Below are 20,797 nucleotides of genomic sequence, written 5' to 3'. Positions count from 1 at the left end.
TCTTTTCTTAGCACAACCACCCTTGGTGATGAAATGTTAAATATGTACTAGTAGATATTATTTGGTGAATATTGCCTAGTGAATATTAAGTATTCTCACCTTTCAGACATGAACTTGTGAATTCAACAGGTGAAAATTTACAACTTGATGAAACAGCTTCAGGAGATAGGTCTTCAGTCTTAAGTCAGATTAGAAGATTATGTGAAATAATTATTTAAGGTTTAACATTGAATTCTTTTAATGGTACCCTCCACATGAAATAATATACCTCTAAGTGTTAATTATGTGCCAGGACAGGAGAATTCATGTTTTCAAATTCTCATACTCTCTAGAACAATAAACTCATTTTCTTTTTATTAACCTATTATAAATACATGTAAATATTGCATTTTGGGTAGACAAAACTGAAAGAACAATATTTGTCCTACTTTTGAGACGCAAGATTTATCTGGCATAATGCATCGAACAGGTTATTATTGAAGTCTACACCAGTCAACTGAACAAGTATTCATCAAATGTCCATGATACGCAGGACGTAAGTTTTCTTTTAGAGTATGGAGCCATGCATATTGTCTTTTAATTAGATGATTTAGTTAGATATGTTTTTAAAGAAATATAAACATAATTGATTTTCTTGTTTTGGCTCTGGAGTGGAGTGGGGATGAAACAGAATGGATTCACACTGTTTAGATTTACTAAAATGGAAGGATTGCAACAAGATCATATCACTCCTAGTCTCCCCATAGCAAATGTCACCTACTAGCTGTTCTTTTTTTTTTTTTTTTTTTTTTGGTAAGATGGAGTTTTGTTCTGTCGCCCACACTGGAGTGCAGGTGTGATCTCAGCTCATGGCAAGCTTACCTCCTGGGTTCAAAGCAATTCTCCCTGCCTCAGCCTCCTAAGTAGCTGGGATTACAGGCCCCTGCCACCACGCCTGCCTAATTTTTGTATTTGTAGTAGATTGGGGTTTCACCATGTTGACCAGGCTGGCCTCGAACTCCTGACCTCAGGAGATTCACCTGCCTCAGCCTCCCCAAAGTGCTGGGATTATGGGTGTGAGTCACTGCACTTGGATTTAATGGGATATTTCACTACAGACTTTGATAAACAGAATATTAGCATTTTTGGTGTTCTACTTCACTCATACTATTTTTCTTTGCACTCAATTACAATAACAGAATTAAAGATCAAAGCGTAAAAGTTAAAGACCAATAATTATTCTTTTCTATATATTGTGGTTAAATGATATCCCTTTTTCTTTTTGTTCTTACAGCTCCAGCTGTAAAAGCCAAAGGTCCAGGGATGGTCCCATACCCTTTTTTCCAGTCTCATGTTGAAGATTTTTACGTAGAAGCTCTTCCCAAAGGAGGTTGTTTTTTTTGTTTTGTTTTTTTTGTTTTGTTTTTTTTTTGAGACAGAGTTTTTACTCTTGTCGCCCAGGCTGGAGTGCAATGGCACGACCTTGGCTCACTGCAACCTCTGCCTCCTGGGTTCAAGCGATTCTCCTGCCTTAGCCTCCCAGGTTGCTGGGATTATAGGTGCCCACCACCACATCAGGCTAATTTTTGTATTTTTAGTGGAGATGGGGTTTCACCATGTTGGCCAGGCTGGTCTCGAACTCCTGACCTCAGGTGATCCTCCTGCCTCACCTTCCCAAAGTACTGGGATTACAAGTGTGAACCCATGCCCGGCCAGGAATTTTTTTTTTAAGAAGGCTGTCTACTAATGGAATTCCTGGCCTTAAGAGGATATTACTTTCAAAGGAAAGGATTTATTTCGTTATTTAAAGGTAAGATTCTTGGATTCTTATTGGACTCTTAATCTCTGTTCTGAGTAATCCATCTTTTTTTACTGTTGACCAATAGTCATTTGCCACTAGGGTTGTATTTAATGAAGTCTGAGTTATTTTATGTTTTTTTTTTTTTTTTGACTGAATTTTGCTGTCATTGCCCTGGCTTGAGGGCAATGGCGTGATCTCAGGTCATCACATTCTCTCTGCCTTCCGGGTTCAAGCTATTCTCCTGCTCAGCCTCCCGAGTAGCTGGATTTACAGGCATGCGCCACCATGCCCAGCTAATTTTTTGTATTTTTAGTAGAGATGGTGTTTCACCATGTTGACCAGGCTTGTCTCGAACTCCTGACCTTGGGTGATCCACCCGCCTCGACCTCCCAAAGTGCTAGGATTACAGGCGTGAGCCACCACGCCCGGCCTGGGCCTGCTTCTTTCTCTTTTTCTTTTTTTTCATTAGCAGCTTAAAATTTATGCCTTATTCAGACACAAGCAAAAGGATGTTAGTCCAGCTTTGGAAATAGGTGTGAGCCCACATATGATTTTCCTAGTTTCTCCTCCCGCTTCTCTTTCTACTGTCTTGTTAGTATGTTAATTGTTTTCTCTCTCTCAATCTTTTTTCCCCATTTCTTTGGTAGACGTTTTTACTTGTCTTGGAAGAGTAGGTGAAGAGTTGTTTTTAGGACTCTTTAAAAGGGTACAGTATGGATGACAGTCTTGGCTAATGGTAACCAGATCCAGGGAGCCAGGGTCAGCGTGAGTTGGAATCAGTTCAAATTAGCAAAGCACTGGCACTCAGTGGCAGGAATACAAGCGACCACAAAGTGTTAAACACATCTGGAAAGGGATACTGACATCATCCTCAGAATCTGTGGGGAATACACAACACCTGTAAGACCCATTACTCTTTGACCCTATAAAGATTCTTTAAAGAATAATACCCTTAGTGGTTTTCTAGCCAGCTTGCCTGCTCATTTATCTTTGAGGACAACATGCCTCGTGGAGCTCCACAGGCCCCAGAGGTGTATGGATTCTGTATTTGAAAGTGCTGAAGCTGAGAGACTGGGTCTTATTGGACCCCAAGAGGTCTGCTTTTCCTCTACTCATTGTTCCTTTTTTTCCCAGCTGCTGACATTGCTGTTTAAATGGGTTGTTATTTGCTGTTTAAGTTGTTTCATAGTGGTGTGTCAGGATTTGGGTTTTCTGAATATTTTCCCAGCTGGTGACTTGAGTGGTGGTTAGGGAGGAGCTGTTTTAGGGCTGTTCTGGAGCTGTTGAGGTCAGGTGTCTGGGTACTCCTCAACAGTCTGTTGAGGAGAATGCTGTTCTCATTGTACTGCCTTTGGTAGTGCTGTGTGTGGCCCTTTAGACGTGGGTGGAGGTGAGTTGGGGGAGTTAATGAGATCCTTTTTAGGTGCTTTTGATGAAGTAGCCTGCACTACAGGATTCATTGTGACTTTTTTCCTTAACCTGCACGTATTTCTCTGCCAGCATTTGTTGTCTTTCTCATGCCTTTGATTTTCCCAGCTCCTCTTGGTTGAATTAACATAAGTGCTCTGCTATGGTTTAAATGTGTCCCCCAAAGTTTATGTGCTGGAAACTCAGTCCTCAATGCAACAGTTGGGATGTGAGGCCTAATAAGAGAGCCCTCATGAATGAGTTAATGTTGTTATTGTGGTAACAGATTAGTAATCACAGAGTGGGCTTATTATAAAAGAGAGTTCAGCCCCTTTTGCCCTCTTGCTTTCTTGCACTCTCTTGTCCTGCCTTCTGTCGTGAGATGATGTGTAGAGGAAGATAGTCTTCCTCTACACAGCAAGAAGATCCCTGCCAGATGCAGGCCTCTCAACCTTGGACTTCCTAACATCCAGAACTGTAAGAAATAAAATTTGTTCCTTACCTTTTCTTTTCTTTCCTTTCCTTTTCTTCCTCCTTTCCCTGCTCCTCCCTTCCCTTCCCCTCCCTCCCTCTCTCTCTCCCTACCTCCTTCCCTCCCTTCCTCCTTCCCTCTTTCCCTCTTTCCCTTCCTTCCCTTCCTTCCTTCCTTTCCTTCCCTTCCTTCCATTCATTCCCTTCCTTTCCTCCTACCCTCCTTCCCTCCTTCCTTTTTTCTTTCTTGTAAATTATGCAGTCTGCAGCATTCTTTTATAGCAGCATGAAATGGACAAAGACAGGCTCCATTTTCAAGAGCAAGCACTTTTGTAGTTTCTGAGTGAATTATGACTGCAAAGGAAGTTCTGTAGGTAGCCTCAGATCCACCATCTAGGAAGCATACTACCAAGCAGACCTAGGATCTAGGATTTGATCAAGTGCTGGGCAACATGATACCTCTGCAATTTAGCACCTCCTTATATACCTCCAGTTGGCTCAGCCCATCAGGGCTAAAACTACCCCTCATATCCTAGTGTCTCTTGTAGGCAGAAGCCTTGCCTAAACCCTAAGCTGCTTGGCTCACATTCTGTCTTGTGCTTTTTTTTTGTAGGGAGTTCAAATATACACAAAAGAAATATGATGAACCTTCATGTACCCAACCCGCAGATTAAGCAGTTATCTCCATTTTTCCAGATTTGTTTCATCTGCTTCAATCTCCCTAAAAATTTATGTTTGTACAGAAAAAACTGAATAAATAGCTAATTCTCCACCTTACCTCTCATTTTAAGTCACTTTTCAGAGTAATAAGTTGGTGACCTACTAACCTTCATTCTAGTGACCAATAGTTTTTTTTTTCTGAATGCCATTATGAACTCATAGATTATTGTTTGCATTTGATGTATTTCAGGCCATTGCAGTCTTTATTGTTTTGGATGCTTACGTTGTCTCATCTAGGTTAATAATTATCTCTTCAAGTTGACTCTTACGTCTTTTTGATGTGATCCTGTTGGACTTTGATGGCTTCCTTGCTTTCTGGCAAAAAAGATGTTCCAGGATCAATATACTGTACCATACATGGAGTCAGCCATTTCTCTAGGGGACCTTGATTCCTTTTAGTAGAGAACGCAGTTTGGGATCTTGGACTGAATGACTTTTGTGAACCTTCTCTCCTGAAACTACAGCCTGCATCCCTGCATATAGCCTGTTTGGAGCTCTTGCTGGGCACCAACAGATCTCCTAAAACTGCTATATAGTTTGCTTCACTCTTACAAAGATTCATCTCTTCAGAGTTTTGTGCTCTACCCCCAGATGTGGTCTTCCTGGTTCTGAAGCTTTTGTTTCAGTCACCCTGAATTTCACCAGCCCTATGCATGCTATACCTTGGATTGCCAACCCGCCCTCAGTGGAGCCTCTTTGGTTAGAATAGTTGTCACAACCCATGCCTAATACTCTAGTAAACAAGGTTCTACCTAGGCTTAAGTTAACTTTTGCTCCTTTGAGCCCTGTGTTCTACCAGCATTCCATTTATCTGAAACTCTCCTTCACCTCAAGAACTTATCTGTTCTTTAATGGTTTACTGCTGCTTTCTGGGTTCGCAAGAACCCGGTTCAAGAGTTTCTGTTTTAGTTTGAGATCTTATAGGCCTGTCTCATCAGGTTGGTGTCAGCCTAGCTAGGATTAGGCAGAATTGGGTGGGGGTTGTAGTGCATTTTTGGCACAGCATGTACCTGCCTGACTAATTCTCTTTCCTGTTGCAATTCATGGGTCTTAGCATCTTCTGAATGGTGTTTAGTAGGTCATCCTGTTGATTTCCTGCTAGGGAGTAGCATACTCTGGCTCTGTGCCACTGGCCAAGGGATTTAAGGATGGGTGACAGGCTGCAGTTTTGTTAAACAGAACAATATGAAGAGATGGCATTGTTAAAAAAAAAAAAAAAAAAAGGCTTGGCAGCAGGGCCCATTTGAGTGGTTGGTCCTTGGCTCCCGTGTTGATATAGGCAGATCCTTGATGGGAATTTGGAATGATCCCAAATATTGTAGATCACTGGTACATCAAGTCATCCTCATGGTTGTCTGTGTAACAGTCTTGAATGATATTTTGTGAATCTTTGGAGATTCTCTGCATAGGGTTTAATCATTTAGTTATTTCAGTTGAGCCTGTTTAGTTTCTTTGCAAGGAGACAAGAAATGTGAAAGAGATGCAGACATTAGGAAATGCCAGGAGCCTTGTTTCCCCACCCTCTACTTGGGTTCTGGAACTGGACTCATCGGTGAGTAGTGAGCAGCTGGGCCCAAGAGCATTAATCCTAGATCTAGCTCTGCTTTGCGCTCACTCCAGTTCTTGTATCAAATTCACTTCAAGCCACCCAGAGTAGTATGTAGAGGAGTCATTCAGGACTGTGCTTATACTTCATTATATCAAATGGGAGATCCAGTAATTTATAGCTTATTATTTCTGGAGTCTGGAGATGGCTCTGCATAAGCTTTGCTGAAGCAGATTTTATTACATTAGAAGAGAACCTAGCTGGCTGCATCCTATACTGGAAGCTTTTAGGTGCTAATAAGGAGGTCATGTAAAGGTCACAAAATGACTCTGGAATCCATTCCCCCCGAAAAAAGAATAATGACATTCTAGATTGGCCTCTTTTCATTTCCCTTTGATTTTGAGTAATAAATTCTCTCCTCACTTCCCAGCTGAACAGTTTGGGAGTCTCTATTCCCTAGAAAGACTCTGGTCACATACCCATCAGATTAAATTAGGTGAAAACTCTTTGGCCTTAATGAATGTTGAAGGATTTCAAATGGCTAATGGAAATTCTTCTAGAAGTAACTGCAATCTCTGCCTTCCAGATTCAAGCAATTTTCCTGCCTCAGCCTCCCAAGTAGCTGGGATTACAGGCGTCCACCACCACGCCCAGCTAATTTTTGTATTTTTAGTAGAGACGGGGTTTCACCATGTTGGCCAGGTTTGACCTCTGGTGATCCACCTGCCTCGGCCTCCCAAAGTGCTGGGATTACAGGCGTGATCCACTGTGCCCAGTTAAACTCCAGTTTTTCATGTTCCCTGCATAGGTCAGGGTCTTAGGGAGTGATTCATTCTAGCAGAACTCCCCGGATTTTAAGGCAAGTGTTCCATTTATTAATTGACAAAGGAGGCATATTTCTCTTCTGGTAACCTAAAGATTTAGGTCGTTTTCCCAGGGACTCTGTTTCCACTATGAGGGTTCTTGGAAAACTAAGCAAAGGATGAGGAAAAGTCTGTGAACAAGCTTGCTGGTCTCTCCCTGTCCTACAAAAGAGCATACCTCTTCTGTAACCAGAAGACCCTTTTGATTAGTCAAGGCTGGACAGACTGAGATGAGGGTGTGTGTGGGTGTGTGTATGTTGAGACAGGGTCTCACTCTGTCACCCAGGCTGGAGTGCAGTGGTGAGATCAGAGCTCACTGCAGCTTCCACTTCCTGGGCTCAAGCGATCCTCCTATTGCAGACTCCAGAGTAGCTGGGACTATAGGAATGTGTTACCACACCCAGCTCATTTTCTAATTTTTTGTAGAGATTTTTTGAGGTTTCACTGTGTTGCCCAGGCTGGTCTGGAACTCCTGGCCTCAGGGGATCCTCCTGCCTTAGTCTCCCAGTGGGCTGGGATTATAGGTATGAGCCACCTCAACTGACCTGCGATGATTTTTCAACAGTGTAATTTCTCTTTTACAGAGTCACCTAAGCTGAAGATTCCCTTGAGAACAAGTACTGTACTGTGGTTTCATGGCCTTTCTTCCATTTGTGGTTCTTGCCAAGTGGAATTTAAATGACATCTTATCAAGATGGATAAACCCTAGTTTCCCAGTGCTGGAATATATAAAATGGATAGACAAGTAAGTCCCACTCAGCACCCATAGCCCAGGCATGGGGACCTCAACACATCTGAGCCCCAGAGATCACCTTTCATTGTGAGTAGCTCTGAGATGACACTTCTGGTTGGTAAGTGCCCACTGGCAATAGTTTATATAACAGCAAGTGAAGGAATAAATAGTCAGCAAAACATTTTCTGTCCCTAATTCCAGCATTAATTGGATTAGACAGTTATTTTATGAAGAATTTTCGTATGCCACAGTCCTGACCATATCTTCAAGTGAACAGAAAAATTTGATTAAAAAGTCAACCTTCTGTCTCACTCTGTTCCCCAGACTGGACTGCAGTGGTGCAGTTATGGCTCACTGCAGCCTCAACCTCCTGGGCTCAAGCAGTCCTCCTTCCTCAGCCTCACAAGTAGCTGGGACTACAGGTACTTGTCACCACACCTCACTAATTTTCGCATTTTTTTTTACATGTGGATTCCACAGGACTGACTTCAAAAACTTGAGTATGCGTGGATTTTGGTATACACAGAAATGGGGGAGCTGGAATTAATCCCCCCATATACCAAGGGACAAATTGTATCTATTTTTACAATTATACTGTAGGATACATTACATTCCATGACAATGGTAGCTTTTAAAAACAATTTTTAATTTAGTGAAATTACCATAAAAATAACAATAGTAGCAGCTAATATTTACTGAGCTGTTACTAGGTGCCTATAAATACCATAGATTTTTAAATTCTCTGTAACTCTTCCTTATTTCACTTAACCACTCTATCTTAAATTACTCATGCTTGCTCCAGTAGCACACATACTTAAGTTGGAACAATAGAGAGATTGGCATGGCCTCTCTGAAAGAATGACATGCAAATTTGTGAAGCATTCCATATTTTTTTTAAAAAGAGAAAAAAATTACTCCCAGATTTTCACTGTATTTGTGCATATGACCTTTTGTTTAGGTTGAATTATATCCAAAGATGATATTTTCAGAAGTGAGATTACTGTGAGTCGCAGGGTATGAGCATTCTTACTACCCTTGATGTAAATTGCCGAGCTTTCAGGCATGGTGGCTGTCAGCCTGTAATTCCAGCACTTTGGGAGGCTGAGGTGGGAGGATTGCTTGAGGCCAGGAGGTGGAGGAGGCAGTATAATCAGTCACTGTCTGTGTTATTTAAAAAAAATTTCCAAGCTTTATCCTGGAAGGCTTGTATACAATTTAAACACCACTAATACTACAAGAAAATGGCCATTTCACTGCACCTTCGCTGGCACAGGTATTATAATTTAACAAGTTATTTTCTGTGTGATAAATAAAAGACCTCATATTACTTTGTCACTTTTTTTTTTTCCTTTTTGAGAGACAGTCTCGCTGTGTCACCCAGGCTGGAGTGCAGTGGTGTGATCTCAGCTTACTGCAACCTCTGCCTCCCAGGTTCAAGTGATTCTCCTGCCTCAGCCTCCTGAGTAGCTGGGATTACAGGTGCACAGCACCACGCCCAGCTAATTTTTTTTTTTTATACTTTAAGTTTTAGGGTACATGTGCACAATGTGCAGGTTTGTTAACATATGTATATGTGTGCCATGTTGGTGTGCTGCACCCATTAACTTGTCATTTAGCATTAGGTATATCTCCTAATGGTATCCCTCCCCCTTCCCCAACCCCACAACAGTCCCCGGTGTGTGATGTTCTCCTTCCTGTGTCCATGTGTTCTCATTGTTCAATTCCCACCTATGAGTGAGAACATGAAGTGTTTGGTTTTTTGTCCTTGCAATAGTTTGCTGAGAATGATGGTTTCCAGCTTCATCCATGTCCCTACAAAGGACATGAACTCATCATTTTTTATGGCTGCATAGTATTCCATGGTGTATATGTGCCACATTTTCTTAATCCAGTCTGTCATTGTTGGACATTTGGGTTGGTTCCAAGTCTTTGCTATTGTGAATAGTGCCACAGTAAACATACATGTGCATATGTCTTTATAGCAGCATGCTAATTTTTGTATTTTTAGTACAGACGGGGTTTCACCATGTTGATCAGGCTGGTCTCGAACTCCTGACCTCGTGATCTACCCACCTCAGCCTCCCAAAGTGCTGGATTACAAGCGTGAGCCACGCGCCCGGCCTATTTGTCACATGTTTTATCTTTCCTTATGTTAGCTTATTAGCTTTATTTCTTTATTGTCTTTTTTTTTTTTTTTTTTTTTGAGATGAAGTCTCGCTCTGTCTCCCAGGCTTGAGTGTAGTGGCACAGTCTCAACTCACTGCAGCCTTGACCTCCTGGGCTCAGGTGATCCTTCCACCTCAGTAGTTGGGACTATAGGCATATGCCACCATGCCTGGCCAATATTTTTTTAATTTTTAGTAGAGACGAGGTCTTGCTTTGTTTCTTAGGCTGGTCTGGAACTCCTGGCCTCAAGCAATCCCCCCAACGCCCCGTCCCAAAGTACTGGTATTATAAGCGTGAGCCACCATGCCTGGGCTGTCCGTGTCTTTTCCATTTATTTATAGAGTTAATTTGTGCTAATTCAATGATCTGTTTAGTCTTTTATTAAATTATAAAAATAGTAAATACTTTTAAATAAAGAAGTGAAAAATTTCCTTCACTCTTTAGACCCATAATCTTATCTCAGGAAATAATTGCTATTGAGAAAACGGGTCATATCCTTCAAGATACATACAGGCTGATTGAACATCACTTCACATTTTCATATTTCGTGGACATTTGTGCCAATACCTATTGATCTATCTTAATCCTTTTCATGGTTACATAGTATTTGATTATATGGATGTATCACAATTTACCAGTTAGCTGCTGTAGGCATTTAGGCTCCTTCTAATATTTGCTTTGAGCTCTTTATAATTAAAAATTAACCCCCTCAGCCAGGTGTGGCAGCTCACACCTGTAATCCCAGCACTTTGGAAGGCTGAGGTGGGAGAACTGCCTGAGTGTAGGAGATCACCACCAGCCTGGTCAACATAGCGACACTTCGTCTCTACTAAAAATTAAAAAATAAAAAGAGCTACACATTGCAGTGCACACCTGTAGTCCCAGCTACTGGGGAGGCTAAGACTGAAGGATCACTTGAGCCTAGAAGGTTGAGGCTGCAGTAAGCTATGATCATACTACTGCACTTTAGCTTTGGTAAGAGCAAGACTGTGTTTCTTAAATAAAATAAACATTAGATGGGAATATTGCTCGAGCCCTGGAGGTTGAGGCTGCAGTTAACTGTGATTGCACCACTGCAGTCCAGCCTAGGCGATAGAGCAAGACCCTTTCTCTAAAAATAAAATAAAATAAAATTTAACCTTCCATCATATTTCCCAGTAGCACCTTCCCTCCTACGTTTCTCCTAGAAGCCCTTGAATTTTGTTTGTTTTTCACATACCATTTAAAACTTTCAAGTACTGACGTCTGTCTGTGTCAACCCTCTTTTTTTTTTTTCTTTTAAAGAATGTCTTTTTGTCACTTCCGGCTCGATCTACCATGAAAGATTTCTGAATCCAGGAAGAGAGACTGACTGGGCAACATGTTATTCAGGTACGAAAAGACTTGGACTATAACTCAAAAATGATCAAATAATACTGCATGCATCAAGTGCAGTGGAAGCTCTTCTGGAGAGTGAGAGAAGCTTCCAGTTAAAGTGACATTGAAACCAGGTCCTGAAAGATGAGGAAGAGTTGTATGAGAGTGGGGAGGGAAAGAGGAGGTGGAGGGATGGGCAATGGGCTGGGATGGGATGGAGTGAGCTGCCCAGGCAGGGAAACCAGCACTGTACAGACCCGAACAATGAAGATGGCACATTTTGTTCAGGGAATGGTGAATTAAGTGTGGCAAGAATGCTTTGGAGAGACGGTCATTTGCTTGTATGGAATTTTGCCCAAGAGACCTCATTACAGTTTCTAATTTTTTGATGTTATCATGCATCACTGCCCTTGTCAAATAGTATGATGATCACGATAACATCAAGCATATTATTTCATTGATTCTCACAAAAACAGGTGGGGGCCACAGTTATCCCCGTTATATGCACAAAATGATGAAGACTTGGGGTTAATGAGCGATTTGCCCAACCTCACCTGGGTATTAAGACTGAGTCACATGTTAGGTCTGGTCTGACTTTAATGCTTGCCTTGTTCATGAGCACCATACATTGCCTTTCCTATGCAGTTAAGCAGGTAGACAGGTGAGAGAAGAACTCATGTTTCTCTCTACTCACACACTACTGACCAAATATGTGTGTGGAGTTTCTACACCAATTCTCCAACTGTCTGGATACCAACTGCGTATCCCACAAGTCCATTCTGACAATACCTGGAGTTAGTGCAGACCCCACAGATTAGGGGCTCAGTCCCACAAGACCACCCTCACTTCAGATGCCAATTGGAAGTCCTAGGTTGTCACTTGTATTTTGACCAACCAGTTAGAAATCAGGGTTTCCCATGACCCTCTTCTTGAGTTTAATTATTTACTAGAACAACTCACAGAACTTAGAAAAACAGGTTTTTTTCTTTTCTTTTAAGAGACAGGGCCTCACTCTGTTGTCCAGGCTGGTGTGCAGTGGTGCAGTCATAGCTCATTGAAGCCTCAGCCTCCAGGGCTCAAGTGATTCTCCTGCTTCAGCCTCTCAAGTAGCTGGAATTACAGGGTTCCCACCACCACATCTGGCTAATTTCTTTTAATTTTTGTATAGATGGGGTCTTCTTATGTTGCCCAGGATGGTCTCAAATTCCTAGGCTCAAGTGATTCCGCCCACCTCTGCCTCCCAAAGTGCTGGGATTACAGGCATGAGCCACCGCATCTGGCCAGCTTATTTTCTATTACTGGCTCAATGTAAAGGCTCCATCTCAGGAACAGCCAATGAAAGAGATGCACAGGACGAGGTAAGTGGGGAGGGGCACAGAGCTTCCATGCCCTCTGTTGGGCACGCTACCCTCCCAGCACCTCCTTGTGTTCAGCAACACAAGGGTTCTCCAAACCCTGTTATTTGGGTTTTTATGGAGGCATGATTGATTGGCCATTGGTAGTTAAGTCAATCTCCAGTACCTTTTGCCTCCTGGAGTTCAGCAGGTGAGGCTGAAAGTTCCAAGCCTCAAAAAATGTGGTTGGGGCCGGGCGCGGTGGCTCATGCCTGTAATCCTAGCACTTCGGGAGGCCGAGGCATGTGGATCACTTGAGGTCAGGAGTTTGAGACCAGCCTGACCAACATGGTGAAACCCCGTCTCTACTAAAAATAACAAAAACTAGCTGGGCATTGTGGTGCATCCCTATAATTCCAGCTACTCAGGAGGCGGAGGCAGGAGAATTGCTTGAACATGGGAGGCGGAGGTTGCAGTGAGCTGAGATTGTGCCATTGCACTCCAGCTTGGGCTACAAGAGCCAAACTCCATTTAAAAAAAATGTGGTTGGTTCCTCTGGCAGCCAGCCTTCCTCCTGAAGCAGTCTAGGAGCTTGCAGCCACCCTGTCAGCTCAACAGCATCCCACTTGCATTCTTACCATGCTACAGATCTGAAAGACCTTAGAGGCCCTTGTGTCAGGAACCTGGGACTAAGACTAAATATTAAAACAGAAAGTGCTCGTATTACCTTTGTCACTAAGGACTTCATAAGAGCTTTAGAAGCTCTATGCCAGGAACCAGGGGCAGAGACCAAATGTGTATTTCTTTTCTTATATTTGAGACAGAGTCTCACTCTGCCACCAAGGCTGGAGTGCCGTGATGTGATCATAGCTCACTGCAGCCTTGACCTCCTAGGCTAAAGTGATCCTCCCACCTTAGCCTCTCCAGTAGCTGGAACTACAGGCTTGCATCACCATGTCCAGCTGATTTTAATTTTAATTTTGTAAAGGCGGGGTCTTCCTATGTTCCCCAGGCTGATCTCTAACTCTTGGCCTCAAGCAATCCTTCATTTTTGGCCTCCCAAAGTGTTGGGATTACAGATGGGAGCCCCCATGCCCACCAATCACAAGGATCTTTATAAGAGAAACAAGGAGGTAAGAGAGTCAGAATTAGAGAAGGAGATGTGGTGAAGGAAGAAGAGGTCAGAGAGGGAGATTTGAAGATGCTGCACTTCTGGCCTCGAATATGGAGTCAGGGGCCATCTTCAAGGTGAGTCAAGGAATGGGGGTGGCTTCTAGAAGCTGGAAAAGGCAAAGGAGCTCATTCTCTCTAGAGTTTCCAGAAGGAATGCAGCCCCTCTGACACCTTGACTTTAGCCTTAATAGACCTAGTTAGGCTTCTGGCCCCTAGAACTGTAAGGTGGTAGATTTATGGTGTTTCAAGCCACTAAATGTAGGGTAGTTTGTTGTAGCAGCAAGTAAAAAATGAACATGAAGCCAGGGCTTCATGTTAACAGTTGCTCATGCCTGTAATCCCAGGACTTTAGGAGGCTGAGGTAGGAGGATTGCTTGAGCCCAGGAGCTTAAGGCCAGCCTGGGCAACATAATGAGACGTCATGTCTAAAAGAATTTTTTTAAAAAGGCCGGGCGCAGTGGCTAACATTTGTAATCCCAGCACTTTGGGAGGCGGAGGCAGGTGGATCACGAGGTCAGAAGTTCAAGACCAGCCTGGTCAAGATGGTGAAACCCCATCTCTACTAAAAATACAAAAATTAGCCAGGTGTGGTGGTGGGTGTAATCCCAGCTACTCGGGAGGGTGAGGCAGAGAATCACTTGAACCTGAAAGGCAGACATTGCAGTGAGCTGAGATCGTGCTGTTGCACTTCAGCCTGGGCGACCGAGACTCTGTCTCAAAAAAAAAAAAAAAAAATTAGCCAGGTGTTGTGGCATGCAGCTGTAGTCTCAGTTCCTAGGGAAGCTGAGGTGGGAGAATTGTTTAAGCCTGGGAGGTTGAAGTTGCTGTGAGCTATGATTGCACCACTGTACTCCAGCCTGGGCAATAGAGCAAGACCTTGTTTCAAAAAGAAAGAAAGAAATGAGCATGGTGGGAATGGGGACAGATGGCAATGTTAAGTAGAGTGGTCAGGGTTGGCCTCATAAGTGAATATTGAGCAAAAGTTTGAAGCAGGTGATGGAGCTGGCCAAAGTGCTGAGGGAAAAGCATTGTAGGCTGAGTCAACAGGATAAAGGCATTAGGAGGAAATTCCCTGGTGTGTCTGAGGCTCTGGAAGGAGGCCAGTGGAGCAAAGAGATAGAGGGAGCGAAGTCGGTGAGGAGGCCAGGGAGTTGCTGGGCTGGGATCGGTACAGATCATGTAAGCCCTGGGACACTGTTGCTGGGGCTTTGGCTTTTACTCTGACTAAAATGGGAACCACCGAGGGCTTCTGAGCCGAGAGGCGACATGATCTGTCTCCTGATTTAAAAGCACGCCCTGGCTGCCAAGTTGAGAAGACTATGGGAAGATTTGGGTAGAAGCCTGGGGGCCAAGCTGTGGCAACATCCCGGTGGGAGAGGATAGTGATCCTGACCGGGTGCACGGTGGTGGTGAGAGATGGTCAGAGCCTGGATAGATATTGAAGTCAGTCAGTAGGATTTCCTGACATTACCCAAAGCTGTGAGAGAAGGCAGGGGTCAAGGTTGAGTTTGATTCTAATTGAATGATTAAGTAATTTTAAAAAACACTACTGCCTTTCCCAATCCTACCAAGTAAAGGATGCTAGATAAAAGAAATCTCAAGTCAGGCCAGGTGCAGTCGCTCACACCTATAGTTCCAACAGTTTGAGAGGCAGAGATGGGAGTATGTTTTAAGGCCATGAGTTTGAGAGCAGCCTGGGCAACATAGCAAGACCGCTCTACAAAAATAAAAGAAATAAATTTAATAAAATATAGCCAGGCATGATGGTGTGTATCTGTGGCCCCAGTTACTCAGGAGGCTGAGATGGGCAGATCTCTTGATTCTAGGAGTTTGAGGCCAGCTTGGGCAACATATCAAGACTTCTCTCTATACAAAAATTGAAAAAAAAAAAAAAGCCTGACATGGTGGTACTTGCCTGTATTCCCAGGTATTGGGGCGGCTGAGGCAGGAGCATCTCTTGAGCCCAGTTGGTCAAGGCTGCAGTGAGCTATGATTATACCACTGCAGTCCATCCTGGGTGACAGAGTGGGACCCTGTCTCAAAATACAAATACAAATGGAATGAATTCTCAAGTCAGACCAGTCCCTTCTAGGCTATGTAGGCCTTGCAACCACATAGCTGCGTGATCGGGTTTGTGTGGCTGTGGATGAGGAGACCCCTGCCAATTGTTATTGGCTATATAATCAGTTTATTTTTCAATATAGTAATCAAATATATTTCATCATATTTGATGGTCTCAAATATGTGTGGGTTTTGGAATTCCCCTTGGAACAGGTTGTAACATCTTATTGGCTCCATCATTCCATAATTTTTTTAATCTGATCAGTTTTTAATAAGGTCAGAATTGATATTAGACTACCTAATCAGTTTTTAGTGAGAAAATGAAATTGTGTTGTTTGCGCTTTATCCAAGATTGGTGTCATATTGGCTAAATCTAATCAATACTTGAACAAATGCAAAATTAGAGCTTCTTTATCATGAAACACTATGTCATTCTTTAAGAAGATGCCTTTTTTTTTTTTTTTTTTTTAAGATAGAGTCTTGCTCTTGTCGCCCAGGCTGGAGTGCAGTGGTGCGATTTTGGCTCACTGCAACCCTTGCCTTCTGGGTTCAAACAATTCTCCTGCCTCAGCCTCCTGAGTAGCTGGGATTACAGGTGCCCGCCACCCAGATGATTTTTGTATTTTTAGTAGAGATGGGGTTTCACCATGTTGGCCAGGCTCATCTCGAACTCCTGAACTCAAGTGATCTGCCTGCCTCAGCCTCCCAAAGTGCAGGGATTACAGACATGAGCCACCACTCCGGGCCTCCATTTCTTTTTTGTAGTCTTTAATAAACAGCTGCTATCGTTGCAGACTTGCTATTTAGGCACTTAGGAATTTTTCACTAGAAGGCATGTAAAGAAAGACCACGGGCCTTTGTAATGAATTTAGCATTCATTCTTTGACTACATGACTGTCCCCAGAGCTATAACTTTACTAATGAATTTTTTAGAAGCCACTTAGCTAGCAACTGAGCCTAATCAGCCACTCACCCTCGTTATTCAGTGCTCTTTTATTCTTGTCTATTTCTCCTCCAACTTGGCTACACTCACAAGTGGTAAAAACTTGCATTTGTTTTCTTTCCTTTTCAGAGACAGGGTCTTGCTCTGTTGCTCAGGCTGCAGTACAGTGACACGATCATGGTTCACTGAGCCTCAAACTCCTGAGCTCAAGCAGTTCTCCCACTTCAGTCTCCCAAGTAGCTGGGACTACAGACGTGTGCCACCATGTCCAGCTAATTTTTTCATTTTTTATCATAGAGACAGGATCTTGCCAGGTTGCTCAGACTGGGCTCAAAACTCCTGACTTCAAGTGATCCTCCTGCCTCAGCCTCCCAAAGTGCTGGGATTACAGGCAGGCATGACCACCTGTGCCCAGCCCCCCATTATTATTATTTTAAATAATAGCTTTATTAAAATATGATTCACATACCATTCACTTTATTTATTGAAATCTGCAATTCAGTAGGTTTTAGAATATTCACAGAGCTGTGCATCAATCACCACAGTCACTTTTAGAACCTTTCATTACCCTGTAGAGAAATCCATATCCATACCCCTTAGCCACTACCTCCTACTCCCCCAACCTGCCTTGGCCCCCAGCCTTAGGCAGCCATTGATTGATTTTTCGTCACTATATATTTGCCTAATCTGGACAAATAGAATTGTACAATATGTGATCTTTTGTGGCTTTTTTTCCCTCTTAGCACAGTGTTTTCAAAGTTCCTTTATGTCATAGTGTGTATCAATATTTCATTCCTTCTATGGCAATATTCCGTGGCAGAGACACACTGTGTTTTATCTGTTCAACAGTTGGTGGACATTTGGGTTGTTTCCATGTATTGGCCATTATGAATAATGCTGCTATGAAGACTGTTGTACAAGTTTTTGTGTGGACATATATTTTTATTTCTCTGGGATATATGCCTAGGAGTGAAATTGTTGCATTATATGATGACTGTACATTTAGCCTTTTGAGAAACTGCCACACTGTTTTCTAAAGTGGCTACACCAGTTGGGTGCAATGGCTCACACCTATAATCCCAGCTACTCAGGAGGCTCAGTTGGGAGGAATTGAGCCCATGAATTCAAGACCAGCCTGGGCAAGATAGTGAAACCCTGTCTTGATTTAAAAAAAAAAAATCCAATTAAAATGACAAGAACAGAACTACCCAAAGTGGTTACACGATTTAATGTTCCCATCAGTAATGTATGTGAGTTCCAACTCCTCCACATCTTCACTGACATTTTTTTTTTTTCTAGATAGGGGCTTGCTCTGTCTCTCAGGCTGCAGCACAGTGATGCCATCACAGTTCATTGCAGCCCTGACCTCCCAGGCACAAGTGATTCTCTCATCTCAGCCTCCTGAGTAGCTGAAAATTACAGGTGTATGCCACCATGCTTGGCTAATTTTTATAGATGGGATTTTACCATGTTGCCCAGGCTGGTCTCATACTCCTGGCCTCAAGTGATCTGCCCACTTCAGCCTTCCAAAGTTCTGGAATTACAGGCTGAGCCACCATGCCCGGCCTTCACCAACATTTGTCAATATGGTTTTTTTTTCTTTATACCTTAAAGCAGTATAAGAACGAGTGTCTTCAATTATAGGAAACAATATAATCCCAGGGCATTGGGAAGCTAAGACAGGAAGATGTCTTGATGCCAGGAGTTTTTTTGTTTTTTGTTTTGTTGTGTTTTGTTTTGTTTTTAAGACAGAGTCTCACTCTGTTGCCCAGGGTGGAGTGCAGTGGTGCGATCTTGGCCCACTGCAACCTCTGCCTCAGCCTCCTGAGTAGCTTAGACTACAGGTACATGCCACTACTGCCCGGCTTATTTTTATATTTTTAGTAGAGTCAGAGTTTCACCATGTTGGCCAGGCTGGTCTTGAACTCCTGACTTCAGGTGATTTGCCTGCCTCAGCCTCCCAAAGTGCTGGGATAACAAGCATGAGCCACCATGCCCAGCCTGATGCCAGGAGTTTTAGACCAGCCTGGGCAACCTAGCAAGACCTTCTCTCTACAGAATATTTAAAAATTAGCCAAATATGGGGGTACCTGCCTATAGTCTCTCTCCCTCTCTCTCTCTCTTTTTTTTTTTTTTTTTTTTACTTTTTGAGACATGGTCTGGCTCTGTCACCCAGGCTGAAGTGCAGTGGTGTGATCATGGCTCACTGCAGCCTGAAACTCCTGGGATCAAGTGATCAATCCTTCTACCTCATCCTACCAAGTAGTAGGGACCACAGGTGTATGCCACCCAGGTCTTGCTATGTTGCCCAGGCTGGTCTTGAGCTGGCCTCAAGCAGTCCTCTCACCTTGGCCCCCCACAGTGCAAGGATTACAGGTATGAGCCACCATGCCTGGCCCCTACCCTGCCTATTGAGAACCAAAAGAAGGATCCAAATTCTCCTTAGCTCAACTCGAGCCATTTCCTAATTGTTTCATCAGCAAGGTGCTGGTTATTGGGTGTCCAGGCCTCCCAAGTAGCACAGAAATGAGGTGAGGGAGTTTTCCTGCTGCTTCACTCTGTGAGGAGTTGGAGGATGATGTTTACTCATTTGCAGAGAGAGATGCCTTGTAGCCACCTTAGGATGGAGGGGACCCTGATTCCAATGTCCTTTTTTTCTTTAGGAACAGGACCTTGCCCTGTCACTCAGGATGGAGTTCAGTTGTCCAATCATGGCTCATTGTAGCCTCAAACTCCCAGGCTCAAGCAATCCTACCATGTCAGCCTTCCCAGTAGCTGGTAAGCACCATGACACTCAGTGAATCTTGTTTTTATTTTTTTGTAGAAATGGGGCCACAGTATGTTGCCATGGCTGACCTTGAACTCCTGCACTCAAGGGATTTTCCTGCCTTGGCCTCCCAAAGTATTGGTATTACAGGCATGAGTCGTTGTGCCCACTGTCTCTGGTTCTTAACCTTCTGCCTCCCTCTTCCACTTTTAAAGAATGCTTGTAATTACATGGGCTCTCCTAGATACTCCAGGATAATCTTGTTTTAAGGTCAGCTGATGAGCAACGTTAATTTTATCTGCACTCTTAATTCCCCCTTCCTATGTAATTGTGCTGTGTAACAGAGGACGTGAGCAATTAGTTGGCAGGGTGGGGGGTTATTACTTTGGCCACCACAGTAACTTGTGCCAGGTACTGAGCTAAGCACTGGTGAATTAAGCATGAATAACACACACTCTGTAATCTCCATCCATTCATGGGAGGAGCACCTCACCTGCCATGCTCCTGAGAATCTGAGGAGTCAAGGAAGTCTTCCATGAGGAGGTGATGCCAAAGCGGACAAGTGACAGAGGAGCCGAAGCTAGCCAGGAAGAGAGTAGAGGTTTAAGGGGAAGCATATTATAAGCAGAGGATATCACCCACTTCAGAGACTCCCAGAGGAGAAAGAGTGTGCATTCAGGGGGTAGATGAGGCTCAGTTGGACTCCATAGCAGGTGAAATGGAGAGGGGCAAGCAGTGAGGCTGCCTTGCAAGGCAGGGCAGAGCGGGGGCTGTTAAGGAGTTTGGACTTAATCCCCGAGGCAAGGAGAAGTGATGTAAATGGGGGAGTAACATGATGAGATTCATGCATTAGAGACATGGCTCAGGCTTCTGTAGAGAAGTCACCAGGGGGAGCAGGTGGTTCAGTGGGTGTGCAGGAGACCTCTCACTGAGTTGAGGGAGAGGTTTTTAAAACAGAAGAAGTTTGAGTAATTTAAATGATGGTGGGAAGGCGCTAAAAGTGGGGGATAGGTTAAAGATACAGGAAAGTGGGAGGAAGAACTGACAAGTGAGGTTCCAGAGAGGGAAGGATAAGAGGAGATTCCCTTAGGGGGATTAACACTTTCTTTTCTTTTTCTTTCTAAGACAGGGTCTCACTCTGTCGCCCAGGCTGGAGTGCAGTGGCATGATCTTGGCTCACTGTAGTGTAGACTTCCCAGCCTCAAGGGATCCTCCCACCCCAGACTCCCAAGTAGCTGGAATTACAGGTGTGCACCACCACCACGCCTGGCTAATATTTTTCTTTTTTTTGGTAGACATATAGTCTCATTATGTTGCGCTGACAGGTCTCCAACTCCTGGCCTCAAGTGATCCTCCTGCCTAGGCTTCCCAAATTGCTGGGATTACAGGCATGAGCCACAGTGCCTGGCCTCTGCTAGTTCTGTATTCTCTAGAGTTGTCTTTACTTGGTGCTAGTGTGTCCCTCGTTATGCTGATC

At 43.6% G+C, this 20,797-nt stretch overlaps 1 long non-coding RNA gene and 1 pseudogene across 1 annotated transcript; both read left to right on the top strand.

The window, feature by feature from the left end:
• The first annotated feature begins 1,680 nt into the window (after window positions 1–1,680).
• Window positions 1,681–19,257, top strand: LOC101930109 (uncharacterized). Its single transcript, XR_927288.2, has 4 exons — window positions 1,681–1,789; window positions 7,372–7,532; window positions 10,971–11,057; window positions 19,217–19,257. It is a non-coding gene; the product is annotated as an uncharacterized LOC101930109 (long non-coding RNA).
• On the top strand, window positions 8,310–8,413 carry RNU6-1052P (RNA, U6 small nuclear 1052, pseudogene; annotated as a pseudogene).
• Window positions 19,258–20,797: the final 1,540 nt, after the last annotated feature.

The sequence above is a fragment of the Homo sapiens genome, chromosome 7, assembly GCF_000001405.40.
Source record: "Homo sapiens chromosome 7, GRCh38.p14 Primary Assembly".
NCBI classification, from domain to species: Eukaryota; Metazoa; Chordata; class Mammalia; order Primates; family Hominidae; genus Homo; species Homo sapiens.
This window is presented reverse-complemented; position numbering and strand designations above follow the sequence as displayed.